Genomic DNA, 27,782 nt, shown 5'->3' on the forward strand with positions numbered 1-27,782 from the left:
GCTCAGTCTGGTCGTGCTTGGTGTGTTTCAAGCCTGGTGTAAGCATCTAGAGTCCCACTTGGGCCCAGGTTGACCTGCAGCCTCCCAACCCTTTGATGGGGCTCTAGTGCCCAAGACCACAAATCAAGCCCTGCCCCAGCCCAACCAGGCTCCTCAACTGCAGCTTCCTGCTCTTAGGCCAGGTGGATGTCTTAGGATTCAGCCTCTCCCCTGCTCACCCCAAAGCCTGAGTGCAGCCACCACTCAAGCATACCCTGCCCTTTCCAGCTGAGGGGCAGTGTTACAAAGAAGTGACAGCAGGGCTTCGAGAGCAACTGGGCTTGGGTTTGTACCTATGTGCTGGCCCTGTGAGCTCAAGTGAGTTCCCTGAGTACACTGAGCTTCAGCGTCCTTGTCTATCAGTGGGGTTGACCATGCTGCCTTCCTCCGAGTCGCAGCAAAGAGGAGGAGGAAAGGGGCAAGCTGCTCTAGAGCACGCACGCATGTGGGCGCAGTCACCACAGGAAGCCTCAGCCCCTGCACCCTCTACATGGAGCCCTGGCAGTCAGGCAGCACTCAGTGGTTGCTGGGGGAGCAGATGTGGAGGTGCCAAATGTGGCGCGGGTAGGGAGTGTGGCTGGCCTCTGGACATCCCCTGTAGAAGCCACATGTTGAGGGAGCCTAGGTCGGTGTGGGCCCTGGCCCAGGGTGGCCTTGGGACACTCCCAGGGCAGCTGTAGCACCCTACAAGTTGTCGTATGAAAACCACTCTAACTTATACGTGCTTTTGGGTGGAATTAAATGAGTTTTATTGTTTCTAGGACAAGATAGGGATTTGATTAGAAACAACATTTATGGAATGCCAGGGCTGGTTCCCATCCACTGTGCCCTGCAGGAACACAGAGTCTTGGGTCCCAGGCATAAACGGCCAGCTGTGTGACTGGGGCAAGACACGCCCCTCTGTATGGCCAGGCCACCTTCTTAAATAAGTAAGAACAGCCTTCAGGTGGGAATGGTTCTTCCCAAGGGCCATTTGCTTTCACAATCTTGTTTACCTTCAGTGGTCAGTTAAGTTTCAAGGGGAAACTGTGACTCAGGCCAGTGGAATTGTCAGATGCAGAAGCAAGGGGTGAGATGGATGCGGGCTTGCTGGGCTTACCGAAACTTGTATGCCTGTAGGCCTCTGGGGGTGCAGTCATTTCCTCCCTCTAGCTGTGGGCTGCGGTGCCTTTGGAATAGGATGCGCATGTCATCGAGGGGTCTAGCAGTGACCTGAGGACTGGCAGGACCTCGATACTGGGGCCCAAAGCGGTTTCCTCTCCTGGGAAATGGGTGCCCAGCCAGTGTCAGAGCCCCAGCTGGGAGTGGCCTTGGTGCAGAAAATGCTGTGTAAATGGCAATTGACAGTGCCAGGTTGTGCCCAATGCAAGCATGGGTGCTGCCTGGTCCACAAAGGAGTATCTGATCTTTGACTGTCTGAAGACCACTGCCTTTCTAGGTTGGAAGCAAGCTCTGATTCAGATGAAAGTGTGGCCATGCAGGGCTGTGTGACCTCAGCTTGCACACCCATGAAGCCAGCCCTGCCCACAACCTTTCCAGATACTGTTGATGCGTGTCATGTCGGGGACTGGAGTCCCTGACAGGTATCAGAGCCCAAGCTGGCCCTGGGGGAGCCCTCAGTGGGGCTGGGGTGGTCAGGCAGGCAGCTGTTTCTTCATATGGGGAAGGCACTGAGTGAACATGGCTTCCAGAGTGTGGTGGGGGCACTGGAAGGGCTCCAACCCTGCTTCCCAGGCAAGGCGACTGAAGCTGAGTCTCAGAGAAGGCAGAGGGCTTTGCCCAGGCATTCTGAGCAGAAGGAACAGTATGTGCTAAAGCCCAGAGGCGAGAGAGTGTCTGGCATGACTGAGGTAAACATGGAGCTCCTTGCAGAGAGTCTGAGAAGTGGGGTGGTTCGTAGGTGGTTGTGGTCATCTCTGAAAGGGCAGTAGGGAGGATGTTTGGAAGGCCGAGTCTAGAAGATGTTCCAGCTGGAGTCGGGTCCTGTAGGCCACGCCTTGTGATGGGGAAGCACAGCTGCACCCTGGAATCAGGCAAGAGAGCCCCTCCAGGGGCCCACAGGGTCTCGAGGCTCCTGGGTGCCGCTGCTCCCCACTCCGCCCCCTCATGCCCTGCCAGCCTGTAAGTCCCAGGACCCTGTGCTTTCACTCCAGCTTTTCCCCAGGCCCCTTCTTGGCCCTCCTCACCCTCCTGGGCTCAGTCCCAGGATCAGCCTCCTGCACAGGGTGGGAATAAATCCTGTAGGCAGCCTCTGCCCTTGACAGTGGAAGTCAGGGCTGCCTAGCAGGGTCTAATTCATTATTTCTCACACTCAGCTGGGGGTTAGGGCGGGTTGCTTGAGATTCTTGTTAAACATTCTTGGTCCACCCCGGGTCCCTGAATTCCAGTCAGCAGGAACCAAGGAATTAACATTTGTGACCATCAAATCATCCAAAGGGACTCCCTTTATTGGCAGTTTGAGGAAACCATGGGCCAGAGGTTGGACTCTGAAGTTAGACAAACCTGGCTCACGTCCTGCCCCTGATTTGTCACATACTGTGCAGCCTGGGTGACTTAACCTCTCTGAGCCTCAGCTTCCTTATCCGCAAAACATGGAAATGTTAATAACAGAGCCTGCTTTGTAGAGTTACTGTGGGAAGGAAAAGAAAATAATGATTTTACATCAGTGTCCAACATATTCATTCAGCGCATAGTCTTGAGCACCTACTATGAGCCAGATGCTAGGCTAGGTCATAGGAGTAGAGGGTGAGTAAGGCAGGTCCCATTTCTGTTCTTACAGTTCACCTTCTACCAGTAGGGGTATGAGTTGGTAAATCACCTTATTTACCTTACAGTGAGGCGATTGAGAATGGGAGGGGTTCTGTAGGCCAAGAGAGCTCTCTTGGAGGTGGAGATATGAATATCTTGAGCAATGAAGGGGTACAGCCATTCAGAGGCCTGGGAGAAGAGTGTGGGAATGCTGGGCACATTCTGCCACCAGGAGGGAAGGGGAGACGCTGTGGGACAGGCAGGAGGTCAGCAGGGCTGGAGGCCAGGGCATGCATCCAGGCTAAGCACAGCAAGTACTGGGGAGCCTGGCCTCCCAACCTCTTCTTGAGGAAGCAGACCCTTCTGGGCAGAGCGGCTCTGCCTGCCCCCTCTCACCCTCTGGCCTGGCACCTCAGGGAGGGCAGACCACACCTGCAGTCTGTGTCGGGCCCCTCACTGCCCTGGCATCACTCTGGGGCTCTGCTGGGACTTTCTTGTTTGTTTTAAAGGAAAGTTGAGTGTTTCCTGAGTGTGCGTAAAGCCAATGTACTACTTAAACTGAGTATTTATAATTCTTTCTTTTAAGAAATAAAACAATAATAAAATACCATAAACCTTGCTTTAATTATTCACAGGTGTCAACTTGTAATCATCATGGGGAAAGGGCCAATGAGATGCCTTATTTAAAAAAGGCACTTGCCTGCTTTTCTTTGAAGTTTTGCTAAAATGCTTCATTATAACATGTTCTTGTTTATAAATAAATTCCAGCCTTTCAAAGTTTGGGTGTTTTTTGTTTTTGTTTTTGTTTTTGTGTGCGTGTTTTAAAAGTATTTAAATGAGATGATTCTAGATGAGGGTGATTGATTCACAGAGTGAGCCAGCCAGAGCTGTCTGTGAGTGACAGCTGTGGCTCCCCTGCCCTCCTGGGGCAGCATAGCTACCTTAGCTTGCTGTCAGCTGTGGTGTTTGTGAAGCTATCCATTGTGGATGTGTAGATTAGGGTGAATCCCGATTTGTGTGCTCGCATTTGCCTACCTGCTGGACTTACTGCCTGGCAGACAGCTCTGCACGTGAGCACATGTGCACATATGGCCTGAGATGGGGCCTTCCCAGGACAGGGGAGAGTTCTCTGAGGGCAGATAGCAAGGGAACCAACCTGGGCTGAAGTCAGGGGAGGCTTCTCAGGTCCGAAGGAGGAGGAAGACTTACTAGGAGAAGATGAGCAAGGTGTGGGTAGAGAGGATTCTGGGCAAATGCAAAGGCCCCATGGTGGGAGAGAGCCTAATGTGTTTGAAAACCTAAAAGGAAGGCATTTGGCATCTGGACTGGAGCCCAGAGACAAATGTGGGGTGAGAGGTGCTGTAGAGGTAAGTGGCACCAGACCATGCAAGGCCAGTTCAAGTTCTGTCTATTCTTATGACGCAGCTGGTTTTGCAGGGTGGGTGATGTAGTGTGTGTGCAATTTATTTGTGTGTTTGAGGGAAAGACAGATGGTTTGGAGAACAGATTTGAGGGGAGCCAGGACCTTTCTGGGGACTAGTGGGGAGGCTGTTGCCATAGTCCAGGCAGATTGAGGTGGCTTGGATCAAGCTGGCAGCAATCCAATGGGCATTAAAGGCATTCAGGAGATGGAATTAACAAGGCTTTGTGATGGACTAGATATAGGGACAGTGAAGGGGAGAGGCATATTACCGATGGACCCCAGATCTCTGGCTTCAGTGACAGGCCAGGTGGAGGAGCCGTTGGTGAGAGAGAATCCAGAACAATCTGGAGGGGAGAGTGAACAGAGCCAGGAGTATGGCTTGGGCTTCACTAAGTTGGGGACGTTTGGGGAACCCACTTGGAAAGGTCTAGGAAGCAAGCTGACATAAGTGTCTGAAGCTCAGAGAAGTTTGGGATAGGACATATATTTATGTGCTGTTGGTGGCTCCAACCTTGGTAGTTGGGGCCTCTGGCTAGAAAAGAAAAGTTAAAAAGCAAGCTTCAGCTGTTTCATCTAAAGTTATAATTCCGATGCTTTAAAGGCTCCCAACCCTCTTCTTGTTCATGGTGGGGGAGCCTTCCTAGTTGTGAAAGGGTCTGAGTGGCTCCAGCTTTGGCATATTAGGGTGCAGGGGAGGGTATTTCTAGGGACACTCTGGGAGAAGCTGCCCAGCCTGCATGGTGCTAGTGCCAGTCTGCAAAATCTCCAGGTAATAGAGAGGGCAGGCCCCTGCCCACCCCCTTGCAGCCTCCAATGCTGCTGCTGTGGCAGCTGCTGCTGCGAAACAAACCAGGGTGACTGGGCGGAAGGTCAGGAGTTTAAGAGCTTGTTTGATTCAAAACTAGGCTAAAAGACAGGAGGGGAGTGAGCTGGTTTTCTGTGTGGATCCTGGTATTTTCCTTTGAGTTGGGGAGGAGAATGGTGGGGCAGGGAGGGAAGGCCGGCCGCCAGAGGGAACGCTGCCAAGCAGAGCGCAGCTAATGTGAACCATACGGCGGCGGCGTTGGGCAGTGGCGGCCATCTCCCGCCCAGCTTAGTACAGCCCTTACTGCGGGCAGGGGTGCAGACAGGCAGGAAGGCAGCTCGGGCTGTGCGGCCACTTAACCCTTCCAGTGCTGAACTACAAGCAGGGCTCCTTCACCTCAGCACATTGATGTTTCAGCCAATAATCCTCTGTCCTGGGCACTGTAGATGTCTAGCAGCATCCCTGGCCTCTACCCACTAGATGCCAATAGCACCCTCTCCCAGCTGTGATGACCACAAGTGTCTGCAGACATTCTAAATGCCTCCTGGGGGGAAATTATCCCTGGCGGAGAACCAGTGGCCTAGAACAGGCGGCCCCCTCAGCTGCTGGGCCTGCCTGGACTCTGATGGGCCTGCACCCTTCAGGGGCCCTGCCCCAGACACACCACATCCATGTTTGGAGTGCTGCCTGGGGCTGAGCATGTGGGGGTCGTTTTCCCATGAAGCAGGCAGCCATAGGGTCAGAGGGGAGACGAGACCTACCCAGAGTTGTATGCCAGTAGGAGCCAGGGTCCAGGATTGGTGTTGCTCCACACATTCCCTGTCCCCCTGCTCCCAGGCATGGCCCCCATTCAGTTTCTGTGGTTTTAAGTGGGAGGTGTGCAGCCTGCCCCTGACTGGCTTCCTGGGGGGACTAATTCCTATGCCAGCCTTCTCTGCCTATTCAACATGCAGTTGCCCAAGGGAACATGGCACGGGTGTTTACCACACTGTTCTTATACCAAGAGTCAGTGCACACGAGCTCAGTGTCCAGCGGTGGGTCTGGTTCTCTAAACCGTGCGATACCACGTGCCCATCGAACACGATGGTGCAGATCTATGTGGAAAGACCACCATTAGAATCATCAGATCCGCGAGGACAGAGACTTTTGTCAGTCATGTTCCTGGGCCCTTAATAAATGTCCTGTGAATAAATAAAATGCTAATTGCAAAACCAAATCTCAATATGTATGATTTGGTCCCATTATGTAGGAAAACTGTCTGCATATGTTTGTATACAAATGCATCAAAAAATCTGGAAGGAGACAGCAAACTGAGAACAGTGGCTGCATCTTGGAGGAGTGAGGGAAAGTGGAATTTAGAGGGCTGAAAGAGAGCTTTCATGTTTCAGTCTATTTAATTGGTGTTTAAATCTTTTACAACGAGCTGGTATTCATCTGTTTCTTGTGTGGCTTTTATGAAAGAAAAAATATAAAGAACTGGAAAAAGAGCAACTTTTGTTCTGTCCTTCCCTGTTCTCTCTCACCTCCCTTGTGCCCTCACTCGGCTTTGGCCTGGAAAGTCCGTTCTCTGCTGGGGAGGCCTCTGTGTAGGGAGCCCAGGGGTCTGGCCTGGCACTGTTCTGCTGAGGGCCACCTCCTTTTCAGAAAGCTGGAATGGGCCCCTCCTCCTGGCCCCTGTGCATGGATGCCACTACTGGGCTTCCCTGTCCTCCCTGAGCCCTCCAGGAGCTCCCTGGCACCAGTTGGCATTTGCCCTCCACATGGCAGTGCCCTCCTTGCCTCTGTACGGTCTTCCCTCTGGGCCCTCAAGCTGGGGCTCGCACAGCAAGCGGCAGCCTCTACTTTATTGGGGAAGCTCTGGGCACCAACCCTCACCCCCTTCTCCTTCACTAGCCGCCCTGCATGATTCCCCTCCCAGCTGTTTCTGCTCATTTCTCTGAAGTTTTCAGCCCTTTTTCTCCTACTCACTGTTTTTTTTCCCCTCCACACTCCCCTCCTCGGAGATGCAGCCTGAGGCTGAGGCCGCATTGTTTGGTGACCTTCCCTGCTGTCCCAGGCTGCCTGCACATTATCATATACAAATACTTTCGTCCCTTTCACAGCAGCTGCCATCTTTGCTGACTCTTTCATTACCCCCTCCGCTTCAGCCTAGGCAAACAGGTCTCTGCAGGTGGTGACAGTGATAATTTCCTGTCCATGGAAAGCCTGCTCTCCCCGCAGCACCATAGCAGGAGCTTCTTCCCTTTAACAGGTGAGGGGAATCCAAGGTCCAGAGAAGTTAAGTCACATATTTTAAATGTGGATCGGACCCTCCTTCTGAGCATACTTCTGTGCCTGTCCTGTGAGCAGCAATGGTTTATAACATCCCTGGAGCTGGCCCCTAATTTGGCTCCTCCATGGCCCAGCTTTCTGCATGCAGCTGCTCTGGGGTCCCTAGGAGTGATTGCAGCCCCTCCAGGGTCACTTCCATTTTAGCTGAGATTTGGGGTCTTGAGAGAGAAGGGGCCTGATGTGGTGTGGCAGCCTCCAGCCCACTTCTAGTAAGAGTATGTTCCAGAAACTTGACTTTGTATGCAGAGGTAGCATGGGTAAGTTGGGGATGGGGTGGATGAGGATGTGAGACATGAAGATACCAGCCTCTTGGAGGTTCTAGAATCCCAAAACGCCAGGCAGTAAGGGGTTTGGGCCTGGCTCCAGGAAGTTCCTGGAGAGTTTCACCAGGATGGGGTTTGGCTGGGTCTCACTGTCTTCCTGGATGGACCAGGGAGGACAGAACCAGCATGCCACCTCTGGGATCCACTCCAGGGCCTGGCTGGTTCAAGCATGTCCTAAGGACAGATAGGGGAGGAACCTCTGAGGCAGGCACTCAGGGGTCCTCCTCTGGGCCCTGTGCGGGGGTTTTGAGCCTTATGGCTGATGGGGGCCTGGCGACTTGCACTCTCCGGTTCTCAGCTGTTTTGTAGTTGACAGTGTGTGGGAAGCTGGGGCGTTCCCCTGAGTTAGTGGTGGTCGTGGGATCTGAGCAGGCAGTTGCAGACCTGATCCTGCTTTGGCTCTGGAGCCTGAATGGATTTCTGACAGGAGAAGCTGAGGCTGTCCAGCCTGCCTTGGGAACTTGGCTGCTTCACCAAGTGGGAGCTCTGAGACTCTCCCACAGGTCCCGTGCTCCCCACGTGCCCTTACAGTTACCTGCCCACCAGGGCCCAGAGGAGGGGCTACCTGGAGCAAGGGTGCCTGGACTGGGCCTCTGTCTTCCCCTGCTGTGAGCAGAGTTCTCACCTCCTGACCCCGACTTGGTCTAACCCTGTGACCCACATGAAATGCCAGCCACTGGTGGTGGGAAGTGGGTGGCTGGTCTCTTCCAAGCCAGGAGTGCATCAGCTCCAGCCTCCTTCCCTGCTGCCGGCCTCGGTTCACAGGGAGCCCTTTGAGGGGCTTTTTGATGTGCACCATGGATGTTTGGCTTGACCAAATTTGTTTGCTTAAGCATTGCTCTTGCCAGTTCATTCGGACCTTCTCTTTCTTTTAAAAATATGCTGCTTGCCAAAGGTTATTTTGGATCTGTTTTTGTTTATCAGGTAGAATTGTTCCAGCGCAATTGAAAGCAGACCCACATGTTGACACGCACTGGAGCTGCTTGCCAGGACACGTGCACATGTGCACACGCGCACATGCAGAATATGTGGCAGGCATCTCATCGTGAGCCCTAGAGTGTACACAGCTTAGGAAGGGGGACTGGGGAAGCTGCCCATTTCACCGGGGACTTGGTATGTGAAGATTTTCATCATCTAGGTGCCAGCACTGACAGACTTCAGGTGGGGAAAATCTAGGGACTGTTACCTCCTGGGAGAGGCAACCTGGTGAGTCTGAGTACCTTGGGGTTAGGCTGGCTCTGCCGCTGGTTGCCTGTCATCCTTCCCTGCTCTGGCCTGGCTTCCTTCTCTGTGACTGATCTCCCGACTTCACAGGCTTTGTGCCAGGCTGTGGCTGACGGCCTTCGGGAAGCAAGCAGGGCTGGCCGGAAGTCAGCCAGAGTGAGGGACTAGAGCGCTGGGCTCCCTACAACTGTGCCTCCCTTTTAAGTGAGTAGCCTTTTCTTGGGAACACGGTTGGGTGCTTCCTGCCAGGAGGCCTGCAGTGGATTTCTTCTGAAAACACAGCTCTTTCTCCCCATCAGGACCTGCTGTGTATAAGCAGGCTGCTCAGAGGAGCCCTTTCAGGCACTGGCTTTGGGCCTTGCTCCCTTGCCCCTTTGGGGCCCTGTGGCACCTGGAAACACACAGAGGGACTAGGCGGTTAAGGCTCGTCCTCTTTCCCATCCCAGGACAGCCCAGCAGAAAGCTTGAGGATACTGATTCAGCTCCAGGTCTCATTGAAGGGAGGACACTGTGTCCAGAGGGGTGGCTATGTTCGTTCGTTTGATTATTATTAGTGATAGTAACCAACTCAGATGAGCATAAGGAAGGAAAGGAAATTTACTTGCTTCCACAAGTGAAAAGTCAGGGTACTTGTGCTCCAAGTATGGTAGTGTGGGGCTTGGAAGCTGTCAGTACTGTCTCCTTCCATGCACTTACTTTGTTCTGTGTGGCTCTACCCTCCAGGCAGCCCACGTCTTGTGGAACCCTAGGCAGCTCCAGACTGGCCTCTGTGCTTCCTTCCAGTTCCTCCTGCCCAGCAATGCTGCACAAGTGCTGAGATCTAGCCTTGTCCTGGGGCCGAATTGGTATAGACACTCAAGCACTGTCTCCCCTAGGAGTCAAGTGTCACCGTTAATGTCCTGTCAGGTGCAAGCCCCAGCTCTGCTGGCTCATAGAGCAGTCCACACCTTGGCAGAACTGGGTGTCCTTGTGGCTGGTGACATTTGTGTGAGGCTGCCCTCACCCCTGGCCTGCAGGAAGAACCCCTGTTTTGTTTCCAGTCTTAGACCAACAAAGGCATCCACACTGGGGAACTGGGGGAAGCTAAATCAGCACCCGCCCAAATGGGAGAGGGAGATCCAACATCTTAACATTATCTTCAGATTTTAAAAATGATACATACTTCTCCTTAAAACTTCAACACTACTAAGAAGGAGGTACATGTACCCTTCCCCATTTGCTGGAGAGCACGGGTGCTGCCATGTATCAGCCTCCCTCCAGCAGTTCCTGTGAGTAACATACACGGCTACACCATGGCATGAGCCTTGGCAGAGTCATACCACCGTGCTGCTGTGGCACCTCCAGCCCTCCACCCCCCACACAACCTGAATGTCTCTCCTCTTTCAATAATGAAGATCCTATAGTCATGAAGCTGACTGTAAAGCCCAAAGTAATTATGTTTTATCTGAGTTTGGGAATCTTTCTAAAACGTATTTCATACTCCCGCCTTTCCTTGAACTACACAATTCTTCCTAGAATACTGCATATAATTCCATCTTTTCTTGACGACTAAAGCTTGTCTTGATGAACCAGTTGATTTTATAGGATTGGAGCTATAGAAATGCATGATCTGTTTGCTTCTCCACTAAATGACTTCATGCAAGCTGGAGGGCCTTGGGGGCCTGCCCAGTGCTGGGGGTTGGGGGTGGGGGATGGGGCTTCTGGCACTGTGCAGGCCACCAAGGCTCCTTCCTCAGTTACTGGAGCCTCAGAGAGGCTAAGATGCAAGCAGAGGGTCGGAGCAGGCTTTTGGGCACTCAGGGTTACCTGATGAGGGGAAAGCCTCTGCCCACTTGCCTTTCCCCTGAGAGACACTAAACAAATGACCAGGGTATGTGCAAAAGCCACAAAGGGAAGGGTACAAAATCCTCTGGGAATGTCCATCATGGACTATAGTCGAGTCATTTGATAGGACCCCATATAGCTGTACAAATTCATGAACTAAGACTGTACATGTCATAGGGGAGGCTCCTGGAGCCGCCACCACCCTGCCACTCCCCCATGTCTACACGGCTGTTCCCATGTCTGCACTGCACTCCTGTGCTTTACCTGAGCTATGTGTGCTTAACCTTAAGCGTTTAACCAGCATGCTTTAACGTTTTTTTTTTTTTAATGCAATATGTAAGGAGAAGCCACTGAAGGATTTTAAGCAGGGGAAGAGGGTAGGGAATAAGGACCCCTGGCCAGGTGGGAGTCTGGTTGGAGGGGTCCAGAGTGGGTGTGGAAAGCTGGCTGGGTCCAGGTGAGGGTTGATGACGGCTTGGTCTAGGGAGGTGTTGGGAGAGTGGGAGAGAACAGGCTGGGCTTAAGAGGTACCTAGGGTGCCTCAAGTCTTCATGATGCCTTGAGCACGGGGCAAGATGAAGAGGTGGGGTCATGGGTACTTCTGGGTTTCTGGCTCACATGATGAGATGGGTGATGGTGCTGTGGATGCAGAAAACCATGTGTGGGGAAGAAGGTGCCTCTGGCGTGGGAGCTATGGTGCTGCAGAGCCTGGGAGGCATGGGGTGGAAAGCCCAGTGCTGTCAGAGCCAGAGTCGAGAGTGTCCCCCTGGGTGCTCACACTGTGGGGCTGGAGAAATCAGCTTGGGAGAAGGCCTTGCTTTTGGAGAACTGTAGCACATAATGGCTGGGCAGCAGGGACAGGCCTGTGAAAGAGATGGCTGGGCCTGAGAGGTAGAGGGGAGTGAGGAGGGCCAGGGCTGGAGCACTGCCGTGTCCCCTCCTCCTCACCACCTGTAGCATGTCCACTTCCTCTGTCCAGCCTGCAGGATCCTCTGTGTTTGGGTCTACCCTCTTGTGCTTCCCTACTGATCCCCAATCTGTAGTTGTTTTCAAAAATTTAGCCATGGTTTCCTCCCTCGCACAGCCATCATGGACACCAACCCAGCTCCCCTCGCCCACGCTCCCTTAGCCCATTCCTGTCCAGCGTCAGGCCAGTCCCACGTTCCTGGAGCCGCCAGCACCCTGCCACTCCCTGCCCCTTCACAGCCATCCCCATGTCTACGCTGCATTCTTGTGCTTTACCTGTGCTGTGTGTGCTTCACCTTAGGCGTTTAACCATCATTCTTTAAAACATTTTCAAATTTATGTGAAAAGAGAACTTGATAATATCTGTGAACTCATGAGTTTGCTCTGCTAGTTATATTTTTTCTATCTGGAATTTGATATAAGTACATCTCCCACATGGGTTTGTAGTCATGCATGTGTGTACAGCATTGTTTGCTCTGTCTTGTAGATAAATGGTGACGCTCTGTGTGTACCCTATGCCAAGCTTGCTCTTCGCATTCAGCACTATGATTTTCAGGTTTCTCTTTGCTGATATGTACAGTCTCAGTTCATGAATTTTTACTGCTGTATGGGGTCCTATTACATGACTTGACTATAGTTCATGAGGGACATTCCCAGAGCATTTTGCACCCTTCCCTTTGTGGCTCTGGCACACATACTGGTCATCTATTCAGTGTCTGTCTCCACTACCCCTCCCTCACTGGAGTCTCCTTGCACACAGAGCTTGATCCAGGCGGGAAGCAGGAGGGAGTTAAACTCTACCTCCTTGAGAAAGGAGTATCTATGTAATTATTTGGAATTCTTCCTTACAGGAGACTTGTCTCTTCTCCCAGTTTATTAACTCAGTTATGTATTTTTATCAGGCTAGACTTTGGATATGTATTTTATACTTTGGGTTATAATCCAATGCTACATTATTTTGCTGCTCAAATGGTTCCAGCCTTGACCATGGAGCTCTATGAGGCCAGCTCCTGTGTCCTCTTGACATGGCCCATCCTTTTGTTTTCTGAGCACTTTCTGGCACTATAAGGTGTTCCAGGCTCATCCTGTTTCCTGCCCCAGACCTGGAATCAGCTACTTCTCCAAGGAGCCTGACACCTTCTATAGGAGAATGGTATTAGAGACAGGGTGTGTGCTCCTTGCTGCTGGGGCATCATTGCTTCTAGGTCCTTTTAGCAGATAGAGCTAGGAAAGAAATGTATATATAGCAACCCATATGTGCATATCTACCATTATAGATACAGAGGCATCTACCTATCTGCATTTACATCAAGCTGAACATGAGCTCATGCTCTGTCTCTGACTCTAATCAAGTACACATGGCTCATTCTAGGCTTGCCTCCTTGCTTGTCTGTGACCTCCCTCCAACAGTATGATGTTTGGCTCCTGTCACCAGCATTCACTCACTTATTTGTTCCATCACAGTTCACCCTTACCACTGACACAAGATTGTGAAGCCTGTGAACAAGGGTGGTTTTTTACTGTGGTTGTCCACAGGTCCCTGAGCCCCTGATCTATGGAAGCAAGAATGTTGGTGTTCAGACAGATTATTTGGAAGAGTGAACCCTGAGGGCCAATTTGGCAAATAAAGTGGTGAAATGTCCCCCTTTGTCTTGAAGCGTGAAGCCCTTCCTGCTGTCAGGCTGAGGTGGAGATGAGCTCAGAGAGAACTCACAGTGATGCAGCTCCAAGGGGGCAGGCGGGCTTGTGCAGCCATGGGGGGAGGAAGGAATGAGATCAAGAATGGAATCTGGGGGCCCTGGGAAGTGGAGTCCCAGCATGACAAACTGTACTAAATGGGAGAGAGTGAGGAGGCTGGGGAGGGGATGGAAATCATTTAACAGCTACACTTTTCTTCCTACTAGCCTTGGCTTCCTTAAGGCCTCAACATGCACTGGATTCTAAATATGCAAAGCAAGGCTAGCTGTAGACAAAAGGAGGAAAGAATGAGGTGGTGATGTGATGAGCTGTAGTTTGAGAAAACCCCAGAGACTGAGTCTCCTGGAGTTAGACTGGGAGACTTGCTCTTTGGGAAAGCCCATAGGCCAGAGACATCAAAGTGCCGGTAAGAATAGGGTTCCCCTTGGGTTACCATCAGTTGGGGATGCAATAACTACAGCATTTATCTTTAACTTAAATTTTTAATTGTTAAAAAAATAGGTAATGGATTCTCAAGATAGGGGAAAAAAAATTCAAACTATGTAAAAGATGTATAGTTCCTACCCTATTACCATTTCTGGTTTCTTTCTAGAAATAGTCTATGTGCATTCAAGCATATTCATGTATATCGTTATCTCCTTTTTTCCTGTATATTAATGATAACATAGTATACACATTGTTTTGTACCTTGTTTCCCCCCGCCCCCCCCAAAAAACTCTGTCTTTGAAGATACTCTGGTATGAGAACAGATAGACCTGCCTTTCTTTCTTTTTCACTGCTGCATTAGTGATAATACAGGTACGCCATCATTCATTTGTACTGGTCTTCCAGTGACGAACACTTCTGCTGCATCTAGTCTCTTGCTTGACTTCTGTATTTCTTCTTTTAAAGTGTAAATGTTTGGCACAGGTGCTTTTTTCAGTTATTTCAAGTAAGCGATTTTGGTTTTCACAGGATCCCTAGGAGATGGCTTTGGCAGACAAAACTCGGCTCTGAGGGATGATGTGTTTTGGTCAAGGTCATAGAGTTGACAAATGGGAACTTGAGTTTAGGTCTCCTTACTCCACTTCCAGTGTCCTTTTCACTGTATTCTAGACCAGAAGAATAAAGAATATATAAATCCACATATAAGTCGTATGTGCCACAGCAAAAGCCTGAGTTCCTGCCTTTCTTTACCAGTGATCTGCAAATCAGGGTCTGTTGAGTGGGGTTTTCCTTGTTGTGACTTGTCTCTGGGACCCCAAGATAGGGCCAGGCCCAGAGCAGGAGTCAGGAATCCCTTGTTGAACAAATGTGCACCCTGGGCCCTGAGATTTGGGGCTCACTGTGGCCATTGACTTCAGGGAGTTCTCCTAGGATACAGCAAGCTGCCAGTACATTGGTTGGAGTAGAGGACCTATACTTTATACTTTGCAGGTGAACATGTTGACTTAACCATCAGAAGTCTCCAGATGGAAATGTCTTGCCCCATCACTGTAGTTTAAGTGGTATTCCTTTAAGAAGAATAACTTGGATGCCAGAACCAAAGGCCTGTGCTATTGGACTGGGCCAGTGAAGACAGCACAGGCATTTTCCAGTTTCAGTGAAGTTATTTTTGGTCAAGGCATTTCCTATTTGAAAACATTTGCAGCTCCTCATGGGTCCGTTGGTGCCTGGAGGTATAGGGCTTTTCAGAGGTTATTGTGATTGTCCTTGAAATGGTGGCCTTTGCAGTTGGAGTAATGTTCTGCAGAAGTTAGAGTATCGCTATCTCTGATCAGAGTCTGGCACTGCTAAGGAGCTACAGGGATATGTACCAGCTTCCTCGCCCAGCATAGGGAACACGCTTTTCAATTCATGTCTGCACATTTTCCCACCTGAGGCAGCTGTGCCTTAGCCAGTTGGGCCCCTCTGAGAAATACTGCTAATACAGAGCGACACCACCACTCAGCTCTGTGGAACTTCTCCCCAGTGGCCTAAATGCTGATTCCTGGGACAGTTCCAAATATAGGTTCCCCACTCCCGCTTTATAGGAACCAGTTTACCAAGACCTGGAGGCCACCACTATGTCTCATGCCTTTCTTTCTGCATCCTGCACATTCTCAGTACCTTCCAGACTCTTGCCAAGATGCAGGCTCTAGAGCCATATCACAAATTCAGGTGCCTTTTAGGGCCTGGCAGGAGGCAGATGGAGGGAAGCAGCACATGGGAAGAACTGTACTTCTTTACACTGTGTGAGTAGACCTGGGCACACTGAAGACCCACCACTCATCTCAACTGTGCATGGGAATGCAAAACTGGAATACCTAGATTTTGTCATTTTTAAGGAGAAGCTGGAAATCTGGATTTTCAAGTGAAATGTCCCATTTTAAAATATAGGCTTGAGTTTTTTTGTCACACAGTATGGGTCAAACAAAACATGTCTGCAGCCTGGATCCTGCCTTTGTGCTACCTTTGGGACCTTTGCTCACTTCTCTGCACCGCCCTTCCAGCCATCTTTCTGCAGAGGCTTGCTGTCATGTTTGAGGGTTTTCCTTTAGGCAGAGTGGCAGACATCTGTCTCATTGCTGTGGGGGCCACCAATATGGTAGAATGGAAATATGTTGCTCACCTTTTAATGTGTGGATTGGCCATCCCATAATCTTCTTTTGTGAAATGACTGCTAAATTCTTTTACACATTTTTATATTAGGTTGTTTGTCTTATTGTTGATTTGTAAGAGTTCTTATATATTTAGGGCACATGTCCTTTGTCAGATAACACATACTTAGATGATTTCTCCCGGTCTATAAATTGCCTTTTCATTTTGTTAATGGTGTCTTTTGAAGGCTTTTAATTTTGGTGAACTTCAATTTATTATTTTTTCTTTTATGGCTTATGCCTTTTGTGTCCTCTCTAGGAGATCTTTGCCTTTGCCTATCCCAGAATTGTGAAGATAGTCTCTAATGTTTTCTTCTGGAAGCTTTAAAGTTTTAGCTTTTATGTTTAGGTCTGTGTTCAATTCCAAATTAATTTTTTTGTATGGTGTGAAGAAAGGATTGAAGGTTTTTTTTTTCCTCATATATGTATGCATTGTTTCAGCACTACTTATTGAAAAAAATTTGTCTTTCCCCTTTGAATTGCCTTGGCATCTCTTAAAAAAAATCAAGTGACTGAATATGTGTGGGTCTACTTCTGTGCCAGTGCTCTGTTTACGTTTATTGTCTTCTCATGCTATCTTGATTGCTGTAGTTTTATAATTTTGAAATGAGGTAATATGAATCTTTCAACTTTGTTCTTTTGTTTCAGCTCTTCTAGGTCCTTTGCATCTATATAGATTTCCAAGTCAACTTTTTTTTTTTTTTAAGTATTGGAATTTGGTTGGCATTGCATGGAATCTGTAGATCACAACTGGGAACAATTGATATCAGTATTGAGTATTTCAATCCATGAACATGGTATATCTTCCTATTGATATAGGTCTTTAGTTTTTCTCAGTAATGTTTTATCGTTTTTTGGGGTTGTTTTGTTTGTTTGTTTGTTTTTTGACAGAGTTGCACTCTGTTGCCCAGGCTGGAGTGCAATGGTGCAACCTCGGCTCACTGCAACCTGTACCTCCCAGGTTTAAGCAATTCTCTTGCCTCAGCCTCCCAAGAAGCGGGATTACAGGTGCCCACCACCATACCTGGCTTTTTTTTATTTTTATTTTTAGTAGAGATGGGGTTTCGCCATATTGGCCATGGCTGGTCTCGAACTCCCGACCTCAAGTGATCCACCCACCTCAGCCTCCCAAAGTGCTGGGATTACAGGCATGAACCACCGTGCCCGGCCTGTTTTATAATTTTAAGTGCAGTTTTATACTTCTTTTATAAACCTATTTCTAGGTATTTCTAAGTATTTTTTTTTTACTTTTTTGAGACAGGCTTGCTCTGTCATCCAGGCTATATATTTTATTATTTGACACTGTTGAAAATATTTTTTATTTTCCAATTATTTACTGCTAGTATATAGAAATACAATTGATTTATATATTTTGAGCACATGTTGCTGTCTATGGTTTGAATGTTTGTCCCTTTCAAAACTCATGTTTAAATTTAGTTGCCATTGTAACAATATTAAGAGGTACAACCTTTAAGAGATGTTTAGGTCTTGAGGGCTCCACCCTCATGAATAGACTAATACTGTTATCCCTTTCTTGCTCTTTCTCTCACCTTTTCTTTGCCCTTATGCCACTTGAAGCCTTCTGCTAGGTTCTGACACAGCAAGAAGGCCCTTGCAAGATGCCAGCACCTTGATATTGGAATTCTCAGCCTCCAGAGTTGTGAGGCAATAAATTTCTGCTCATTATAAATTACCCAGTCTCAAGTATTCTGTTATAGCAGCACAAAGTGGACTTAAGACATATATGCTGCAAAATCTTTTCCTGCTAAATTGCTCACTAGATCCTTGCTAAAATTTCTCACTAGATTTAGTAGTTATTTTGTGAATTTCTGAGTACTTTCTTTGCAAACAGTTATGATATCTGGAAATAATTCCTTTCTACACTTTTTGCCTTTTTTCCCCCTAGCTTTAATTCACTTGCCAGGAAGTACAGTACAATGTTCAACATAAGTGGTGAGAACAGATATCTTTACCTTGTTGCTGATGTTAGGGGCAAAATGTTTATACTATTTCACTATTAAATATGTTAGCTGTGGATTTTTTGTGCATATCGTTTATCAGATTCAAGAAGTTCCTTTCTGTTTCTGATTTGCTGAAAGCTTTTATCATAAATGGGTGTTGAATTTTTTTGAAATGCTTGTTCTGCTTCTATTAAATTATTATATAGTTTTTCTCCTTTATTCTGTTAATTAAGTTACACTTATTGCTAAGTAGGTTACATATATTGTTAAGTAAGTTACATATATTGATTTTTGAATGTCAGACCCACTTTACATTCCTAGGGTTAATCCTATTTTGTTATGAAATATTATTCTTTTTATATATTGCTGGATTTTGATTTTACATTTTAGCATTTTTTAATTCATTTTGAATTTATGAGGTATATTGCTCTTAATTGTCCTTTCTTATAATGTCTATGTCATGTTTTAATATCAACATTATTCTGGCCTCATAAAAAGAGAAGAAGTTTTTGCTCTTTTTTTATTATCTGAAATAATATGTTTAAAGTTGGTATCACTTCTTGCTTTAAAGTTTGGAATAATTCGCCAATGAAGCTATGAGGGCATATAGTTTTCTTTAAGAGGAGTCTTTTAATTATGTATTTAAATATATATATGATGTATATTATATATGATTCAGATTTTTATTCTTGTGTGTGTTTTGTTGTGTTTCTATAAGGAATTAGCCTATTTTTGTCTATTTATTGGCATAAAGTTAATTGTAATATACTCTTATTATCTTTTAATGTTTTTTGAATCTGTAGTGATATCTTCATTTTATTTCTAATATTTTTAATTTGTAATTTCTCTCTTTATTTTGATCAGTCTTGCTAGATGTTTGTTTATTTTATTAATCTTTCCAAATAACCAGCTTTTGGCTTTGTTGATTTTTTTTCTTTTGTTTCTTGTTTTCTATTCCATTGATTTCTCCTCTTTATTATTTCCTTTTTTCTACTTTCTTTGGGTTTACTCTGCTGATCTTTAGCTTCTAAGATGAAAGCTGAGATCCTTAATTATCAACCTTCTTTTCTAATATAATATTTAGAACTATAAATTTTCCTATAAGTACTGCTTTAGCTTTATTTCAATGATGTGCCATTTTTTAATCATTTGGTTAAAAGTATTTCAAAAATTTTTACAGAATTTCTCCTTTGACCCATGGGTTATTTATAAGTGTTCTTCTTACTTTGCAAATGTTTGAGGATTTTCCAGTTAACTTGTTGTTAATTTATACTCTTATTCCACTGTGGTCAGAGAATACACATTTCATGTTTTCTGTCCTCTGAAGTTTGTTGATAATTATTTTATGGTCTAGCCTATGGATTTTGGCAAAAATACAGACCTATATGATGACTCTGAAAATGTGTATAGGCAGATGATAGCAGGTGTTGGCCTAGGTGAAGGCAGTTGTGGATGCATAGAGAATCAGTTCAGAGTAGAAAAGCTTCCTATAAGGACATCCTCTCCTTCTTTTGCTAATTTTCTGTCTGTCTCTCCTAGTAGATATTTATATTTGCTAATGCCTTTAAAAACTTCCCTTGGGAGGCCAAGGCGGGTAGATCACAAGTTCAGGAGATCGAGACCATCCTCGCTAACACAGTGAAACCCCATCTCTACTAAAAATACAAAAAATTAGCCAGGCGTGGTGGCATGTGCCTGTAGTCCCAGCTACTCGGGAGGCTGAGGCAGGAGAATCACTTGAACCCAGGAGGCGGAGGATGCAGTGAGCTGAGATCACGCCACTGCACTCCAGCCTGGGCGACAAAGCAAGACTCTATCTCAAAAAAAAAAAAAAAAAAAAAAAAAAACTTCCCTTATAGGATCACATTAATAACCCGAGCCACAGAGTCAGAAAGTGCTGCCTTAGAATGCCCTTTGTCACTTTCTGGCTTGTGACCTTGGGTGAATGACTTCACCTTTCTGAGCCTTAGTTAATTTTTCTAAAAGGGTAATGGGAGTATCTTCCCTGTGGAGTTGTTGGGAGAATTAAATGAAATTTTACAAAATGCCTTTCACAGTTCTTGGCTTTGTAAATGGTAAATATTTTTAGTGGTAGCAGTACTCAAAGAAGTTAGGGAAGCTCACACACAAAGGTGGCTGCTTCTCCCCTTTGGACGGTAGTCAGAGGCACTTGTTCTATTCTTGGTGAGAAGTCTGCTCCCTACCTTCTGCTGTGCCCTTGGCCCCTCAGAGATCCAGAGGAGAGAGCCAGCTCAGAGCCAGCACTTCTGTAGACTGGCATGCTGGTGCTCTTGCAGGGGTATTGTGGTTGGGAGCCATTAGGGGTCCTCACTGGGGTGCCTTAGACCAGATACCTGGTGAGGCCCAGATATCCCTCCTTCCCATAGGGTCCCCTAGGGCTAGGGTGGAGGACTATCTGTCCTTCCTAGCCCTGAAGATTGCCAGGAATAGAGTTTGCTGACCCTGTTAGGGGCTGACAGTTGAAGTACATACAGGAAGACCTGCCTCTTCCTGAAAGTTTGTTCTGGGAAGGGGAATTTAGAGGGGAAAAGTGAATTAAGTTCTATCATATCTGAGTGTTCTTAAAATGTCAGCTATTGAGCCTCTAGAAATGACACATAAATTCTCTGCTAGGCACAACAGGTAAAGGAGAGTTTCAGAAGTTGTGCCAAGTGCCCCCTCTGGACTGAGCAGCAGGGCCCCAGACCTAAGTCAGACACTGGCTCCACCATCAGAACTCATGACCTTGTGGGACAGAGAGAGCCAAGGAAGTAGAGCACCTGTACACTGGGGGCACTTGAGATAGGGAGGGACCCCAAGGGAGGGTCTGGTTGGCTTTCTTGGAGACATGGAGGGCTCTGAGAAGAAAGAAATAGGTTTACTAAGTGGAAAAGGTAAGGGGAGGGTATTCCCATCAGAGGAAACAGCATATGCAAGGATTGGAAGATGCCATTCCAGACAGTTGGAATGGCAGACTGTTCTGATATTTGACATTTTTGTTCGAATTAGAATTGTCATGAAACAAAAACAGAAACACATCATACCTCCAATGTGTGTTGCTGCCATTTTGATGAACTATCAATCTCTTGCATGTACCTCCAGGCCTCTGCTGTGCCTGTCAGGGAGGGCTGTCCCCATGATGCCTGGGAAAATGGCTATGTCTCTGCCAGCCACAGACCAGCATGGGACATTTCGCTGGCTGCACCATGTGTGGTGTTTGTCCGTTGCTGGAATGTGCTCAGTTGAGGGGAATTGTTTCATTTGGTCATCCAGGCTCAGGTGAAACAAAAAGAGGCCAATGCAAAAAGCTGCAGCTGATTCCAGGCACCCCCAAAATGTTTTCTACTCAACACTGGCAGCAGTGCGATGTCCCCTCAGCCCTGCCTTTGGTGGTGTCCAACTACAGGAGCTGGATGGCCCTCTGGCTGCCTCTTGGGGCCTGGGAAGCAAAGGAAGCAAGTTCAAATCTGTCACCTGTTTGTAGTTTTCATAATTTTTGATTTGGCATTTTGATCAGTCTGTTTTTGGTCAAGGAAATGCATCCGTATCTCATAACAGGAAACCCCTTTTGTGATCTTTACTTCAAGGCATTTTTCTGTACTTCCCCCTACTTTTTTTTTTTTTTTTTTTTTTTGCTGGCAAATATACAGACCTAGTATGATATGTGTGTCTTATTAAAAGTTCAACATAATTCATTGCCATTGGTTTGTTTACAAAATAAACAATTCCAGGGCCTTCCAACAATTGAGGCTCCTTTTTTTTTTTTTTTTTTAAATCTTCCTTGGGGCTGGAACTGTGGTGAGAAGATGGAGAAGGACCCAAGTTTGGGAGAAGTCACGTGGTTCCATGCCTGCTTCCTGCCAGAGTCCCAAGCAGGTGACCCAGCAGTCAGCTGGGGAGGCAGACACCCCAGCATGGCCTGGACCCTGCTCTCCTCATTTATGTGAGGGTCTCAGTGGGGTGGTGGGAACCCAGGAAATTCTTGAACCTTCCTCAGCCCATTCATCCTCCTGCCCAGAGTCCCCATGGGAAGTATGTGCATAGGCACTAGCAGAAAAGCAAAAAAGGAATGCTTTCCAGCGTGATGTGGTGGGTTTGGTCCCCAGCCCCAGCCTCAGCTCTTGTGACTGAGTGACCTATAGGGCAGCTTTAACCTTTCCCCTGAGAAAGCACATGTTACCATGGTCCAGAAATCACCCGCTCATCCCAGAAGAGATGGAAGGATAGAGAGTGAGAGATTATCCAGGCCCTGGTACTGGGAGCTGAGCTTGCCTGGCTGCCTTTGGTGGGAGAGGGCCCTGGCAGAGCATGAGATTTCATCATCCTGAGCCCACACTAGGATGTCCCGATGTTGGAATACCCTAAAAGCTCTTCTCTTGGAAAACGTAATCCACGTAGGATCTTGAAATATGACCAGCAGGATGGGGCTTCCTGTCCCTGGTATGCAGAAAGGGTGAGTGGAGGCAGGAGGAAGGATGGTGTCTGAGCTGGCCACCCCATGTAGCTAACACAGTCCAATGCCACTCTGTCCTCATCCTGGCCACCCATAAGCCTTTCTTGTCTCCTCTTTCCCTTCCTACCAAGTCCAGCATTTGCAAGCCATCCTGATGCTGGCCCTTGCTTTTCTCTGTAGCCTCAGCTTTTCTCATTCTTCTACTGATAAAGCAAACTGTAGTTCTCCTGTTTTCTCAGCATACTCACCTTCATGGCCATGCACAGACCTGCAGGGCCTGTGTCTCCTCGTCATCCGCACAGGGGTATATCCATGTGGGCACCTCAGGAGGCAGCTCGAAGGTTACCTCCTCACTGACCTTCCTGCCCTCCACGCTACACACATATGCCCCTCCGTCTGTCTCTCTGGCATGTGACTACCACTGTGACCTTGCTGCAGTTATCCATTGGCCTTTGTGCCCCTGAGATGGCCTGAAAGACACGATTTGGATTTGTCCCAGTTGGCATAGGTGTGGCTTACAGTCAGTACTCTGCGTGTGTTGGCCAGAAGGCCCCCAGTGGCAGTCAGGTGGTTGTGATCTTGGAGTGGGGTAGAGGAATTGTAGCCAATGCTATTCCAATGCTAGCCAATACCAAAGCTGCACCTCATGCTCTACATCACACAGGGAGGGACCTCTGGAGTCCCAGAGGTTTGGCAAAGCTCCCTGCAGTCTTTCTGTTAAGAGTAAATAAAGAAGCATGATATCTGAGGTGGTGAGTACCCACTGATGAGTTAGTAGCATAGAGCTGGCCTCCGTCCTCTTGGGAGACCATAGGCACATACCAGGGATGAACAGCATGTAAGAATCAGGGGTGCCAACTTGGGCCTGAGAGGGAGGGGTGGTCAGGGAGATGTGTACAGGGAACACCAACTGAAGGCCCCGGTCCCCCAAGGGAGGACAGCTTGTGAGGGCTCACCGAAGGAACACAGGAGAAGTCTAGCCGAGGATTTATGCTTACCCTTCTCTTGATTACCATCAAGTGTGATGATAACTTTCGGAGAACTGGCTCTACCAGTGCCCCTTTCTTTATTTGTGGATTGAGCCCCTGAACCTCACTGCTGTAGTTTCCTTTGTGGAAGGAGAGATTAAAGAACCTTCCAAACTTCCTGTGGGTCAAGATGCCATCAGGAGGAAAGGAGCTGGTGTGGGAAAGCCCAGCCCAATCCCAGCTATGAGAGCAGTGTCTGGTTGTGGAACTCTGGCACACACCCTTCTGTGGACCCCACGGTCATGCTGAGTTCTGCATTACTCCACATGTCCCAGAGCTTCCTGCCTCATTCTCATGTCTCGGATAGCCTCATGGGAGGGCTCCAGCAGAGCTTTGAGTCTTGTGCAGCCTGCCCTTGATTCTGGGCTCCAGTTGCATGCCTTGTTCCCACTGGCTCTCCCATGCTAAAAATTAGATATTTTTTGAAAAATTGAAAATATCAACATGTTGTTATAAAATTAGGCACTTTTTTGCCTAAGCTACTCTCACCACACTCCTAAATCTTAGGTTCAAACTAGGTAGTTGTCTCAATTTTGCTGAAATAGTCCATTGGCTCCTGGCCAATCCTGCTGACTTCTCCAAGTACTTCCTGGATGCCTCTGGGGCACACATTGCTGCAGTCCAGGAGCTGAAGCCAGTCAGTAGGCCCTGGGACAGCCAAGGAGGGTGCATCACATGTGCCCTCAGGCAGGGAGTGGGAATCCTCCCAGTTTACAGCAATATTTTGCCAGATAAGCTGACACAGGCTTCAAGAAATCACCTTTTCCCCTTGGAACAAATGGGGGCATATGCCTGGATCATCTTCTCTTACTCCCTTGTGCCAGTCTATGACACCACTGTTTTTTGTTTTTTGCTTTTCTGAGACAGGGTCTCTGTCACTCATGCTGGAATACAGTGGCGCCATCAGCCTCAACCTCCCCAGCTCAAGCGATCTTCCTACCTCAGCCTCCTGAGTAGGTGGAACCACAGGCATGCACCACCATGCCCAGCTGATTTTAAAGTTTTTTATAGAGATGGGGTCTGCATGTGTTGCCCAGGCTGGTCTCAAACTCTTGGGCTCAAGCAATCCTTCTGCCTCAGCCTCCCAAAGTGCTAGGATTACAGGCATGAGCCACCACACCTGGCCATTTTTTAAAATAGATACATAATAGTTGTACATATTTGGGGGCACATATGATATTTTGATACATTCATGCAGTGTGTAATGATCAAATTAAGGTAATTGGGGTATCTATCACCTCAAACATTTGTCTTTTCTTTATATTAGGAGCATTCCAGTTCTTCTAGCTACTTTGAACTATACAATACATTATTGTTAACTATATAGTCAGCCTACTGTACGTTAGAACACTAGATCTTATTCCTTCTGTCTAACTCTGTAACAATTAACCAACCTCTCTTTATCCCATCCCCCTGCCCACCAGCCTTTGGTAACCACCAATCCACTCTCTACCTCCATGAGACCCACTTCCCCACATTTGAGTGAGAACATATGGTATTTGTCTTCTGGTGCTTGGCTAATTTCACTTAACATAATGGCCTCTAGTTCCATCCATGATGCTGCAGATGACAAGATTTCATTCTTTTTTATGGCTGAATAGTATTCCATTGAGTACATATAGCACATTTTCTTTATTCATTTATCTCTCAGTGGGTACTTAGGTTGATTCCATATCTTGGCTGTTGTGAATAGTGCTGCAGTAAACATGGAAGTGCAGATATCTGTTTGATATACTGATTTCCTTTCTTTTGGGTATATACCCAGCAGTGGGATTGCTGGGTCATATAGTACTTCTATTTTTACTTTTTTGAGGAACCTCCATACTGTTTTCCATAGGAGCCGTATCAATCTAAATTCCCACCAACAGTGTACTAGCATTCCCCTTTCTCCACATCCTCACCAGTATCCATTACTTTTTGTCTTTTTGATTAAAGCCATTTTAACTAGGGTGAGGTGGTAACTCATTGTCGTTTGGATTTGCATTTCCCTGATGATTCGTAAAGTTGAGCATTTTTTCATATACCTGATGGCCATTTGTGTGCTTCCTTTAGAGAAATTTATTCAGGTCTTTTGCCCATTATTCATCAGATTATTTATGTGTTTTTGTTTGTTTGTTTGTTTTTTGCTATTAAGTTGAGTTCCTTATACAGTCTGGTTATTAATCCCTTGTCAGATGGATAGCCTGCAAATATTTTCTAGTCACCACTGTTTTCTGGCTTGTAGCATGTGCTCAGGAACTACTTGTTGAGTGCTCTGTGAAGACAAAAATATTTTGATGTCCATGACCACCTGACACATGGGGAAGGCCTGGAGGAAGGCATGGGAAACCCAGAGCACAGACCTGGGTTCAGGTCCAGGCCAACAGCTGACTCCCTTGTGTGTTCTTGGTCCTGTTCAGCTCTATGAGCTTTACTTCCCTCAGCCCTAACATGAGGATTATAAGTAATACCTGCTCCTCAGAGATGACCACGTATTTCATAAACCTTAGCCTTCTTCTTCGTTGCTTTCATAGAGTTACTGTGAGGATTAAATCAGAAAAGGCAAAAATGTCAGGAGCACCTCGTGCACTCTTGAGGTGTGATCCAAGTCCTGGGGTGGTTCCTGTGTGTCCTGATTGTGGCCCTGACTTTGGCTCTGCCCCTTTCCCAGCATGTAAGCCCTGTGGCTTTCTTTGGTTTGGGGTCTGGGCCTGGGCAGGGGTTTTCTTCCCCAGGTGATGTTCACTGGTGGTAGTCAGCTCCCCGGCAGAGCAGACCCCCAGCTTGGAAAAGGAGCATGTGTTCTTCCCAAGTCTGGGTGTGCTAGAACTGGCCTAGAGATTCTGGAACAGCTGTTCTGGCCACCTCCCCAGCTGCCTTTCTCTTTGTCCCAGAATTTCCCCCATCTTAACTTCTTTCTTTCATCTCCCATTCTTGACTCCAGCACTGTAAGCAGGAATCTGGCCTTTTATCTCATTCTTGGATCTTGATAGGCTGGAATGATGGTAAAAAGCCAATGCGGGCCAGGCGAGGTGGCTCACGCCTGTAATCGCAGCACTTAGGGAGGCTGAGGTGGGTGGATCACGAGGTCAAGAGATCGAGGCCAACATGGTGAAACCCTGTCTCTACTAAAAATACAAAAATTAGCTAGGCGTGGTGGCACGCACCTGTAGTCCCAGCTACTCAGGAGGCTGAGGCAGGAGAATCACTCCAGCTTGGTGACAGAGCAAGACTCTGTCTGAAAAAAAAAAAAAAAAAAAAAGGCCAGTGTGATGAAATATACTATTAATATATTATTAATGGCAATCATGTTAGTTTTCTATTTTTATTTCTGTTCCCATGGCTTCTACAATAAATTACCACTAAGTTTTTGGTACCACTAATTTAGTAGCTTAAAACAACACATACATATGTATAGACTATGTGCATTGAAGAAATAATCCTAATGCAATATGAAAAATAAAACTTTCATACCTTTCAGTACCTTTTTCCCAGAAGTTTGACAATTTGAAAATTTACTCTTCCAGATAATTCCTGTGCATGTATAAGCATAAATAGATACTTAGTGTTTTTTAAACAAGTAGGACTATACTGTGCTTATTGTTCTATGCTTGGGTATTTTTTTTTGCATGTTTCTTGCATATGCCTAAATTATTTTATCTTATTGTCTATTTAAGCTGATTTCAGGTTTTTGTACTTGATCATTATAGTTAAATAGGGATAAATGTAAAATTCTTTATCCTCAAACAAGCTCCATCGATGGAGAAGAACCTATCAGCACAAGTGGTAATGTGGTTATTTGCACTCTCCAGCTCCAGGCTAGAGCATGTGATATGTGCAATGTTCCGTCCTGGGGGGGTCATGCTTTAAAGGGGTCTTTGCTGAGTTGAAGCAGCCAGTGAAGCCGTGGAGACTTGCCAGTGGTGGTGAAAGGTTACATAACTGGGAGGCCCCGCAGCTGCACCCATGCAGCTCCTCCGGTGTGCACGCTTGTTCCAGCTCTTCCTTTTACCTGGGCAGCTCCTACCCATATGTAAAAAGGCTTGGTGTACATCTCACTTCCCCTGTGAAGCCTGATCATGCCTAGGCTGTGAACCTCTCCTGGGCCTGGGGCTCTGCACATGGGCGGGACACAGGGTGGGCTGCAGAACTGAAATGTGGTGAACCGGTCAGGGACTTTACTGGTGCAAGTCACAGAAAGTCTAACTGGCCCTCAGTAAGTGGTTCCCAGGAGGCCATCAGGATGTCAAGGGGAGGCAGGTGTTGGACTCCAGGCCTGCTAAACGTACTCTCAGAGACTCAGAACTGTTCACCCCCTACCTGTCCAGTGTCCTCCTTAGGCACCTCTTCCTTCTGTCCTTT

The 27,782-nt window shown here is 47.3% G+C and overlaps 1 protein-coding gene across 10 annotated transcripts in view, besides 4 other annotated features; it reads left to right on the forward strand.

Moving 5' to 3' along the window:
- EEFSEC (eukaryotic elongation factor, selenocysteine-tRNA specific) overlaps positions 1-27,782 on the forward strand; it is a 272,743-nt gene that overhangs the window by 120,400 nt on the left and 124,561 nt on the right. The gene's annotated exons all lie outside the window — the stretch shown is intronic.
- Positions 6,724-7,241: an enhancer, noted in NCBI's record as "OCT4-NANOG-H3K27ac-H3K4me1 hESC enhancer chr3:127999447-127999964 (GRCh37/hg19 assembly coordinates)". NCBI's record gives its function as "activates a minimal SCP1, AML or CMV promoter by ChIP-STARR-seq in naive H9 embryonic stem cells {active_cell/tissue: H9 hESC(naive)}" and the evidence as "EXISTENCE:reporter gene assay evidence [ECO:0000049][PMID:30033119]".
- Positions 8,794-9,311: an enhancer, noted in NCBI's record as "H3K27ac-H3K4me1 hESC enhancer chr3:128001517-128002034 (GRCh37/hg19 assembly coordinates)". NCBI's record gives its function as "activates a minimal SCP1, AML or CMV promoter by ChIP-STARR-seq in naive H9 embryonic stem cells {active_cell/tissue: H9 hESC(naive)}" and the evidence as "EXISTENCE:reporter gene assay evidence [ECO:0000049][PMID:30033119]".
- Positions 11,538-12,037: an enhancer, noted in NCBI's record as "H3K4me1 hESC enhancer chr3:128004261-128004760 (GRCh37/hg19 assembly coordinates)". NCBI's record gives its function as "activates a minimal SCP1, AML or CMV promoter by ChIP-STARR-seq in naive H9 embryonic stem cells {active_cell/tissue: H9 hESC(naive)}" and the evidence as "EXISTENCE:reporter gene assay evidence [ECO:0000049][PMID:30033119]".
- Positions 12,902-13,403: an enhancer, noted in NCBI's record as "H3K27ac hESC enhancer chr3:128005625-128006126 (GRCh37/hg19 assembly coordinates)". NCBI's record gives its function as "activates a minimal SCP1, AML or CMV promoter by ChIP-STARR-seq in primed H9 embryonic stem cells {active_cell/tissue: H9 hESC(primed)}" and the evidence as "EXISTENCE:reporter gene assay evidence [ECO:0000049][PMID:30033119]".

This window comes from Homo sapiens, chromosome 3 (genome assembly GCF_000001405.40).
Source record: "Homo sapiens chromosome 3, GRCh38.p14 Primary Assembly".
In the NCBI taxonomy this organism is placed as follows: Eukaryota; Metazoa; Chordata; class Mammalia; order Primates; family Hominidae; genus Homo; species Homo sapiens.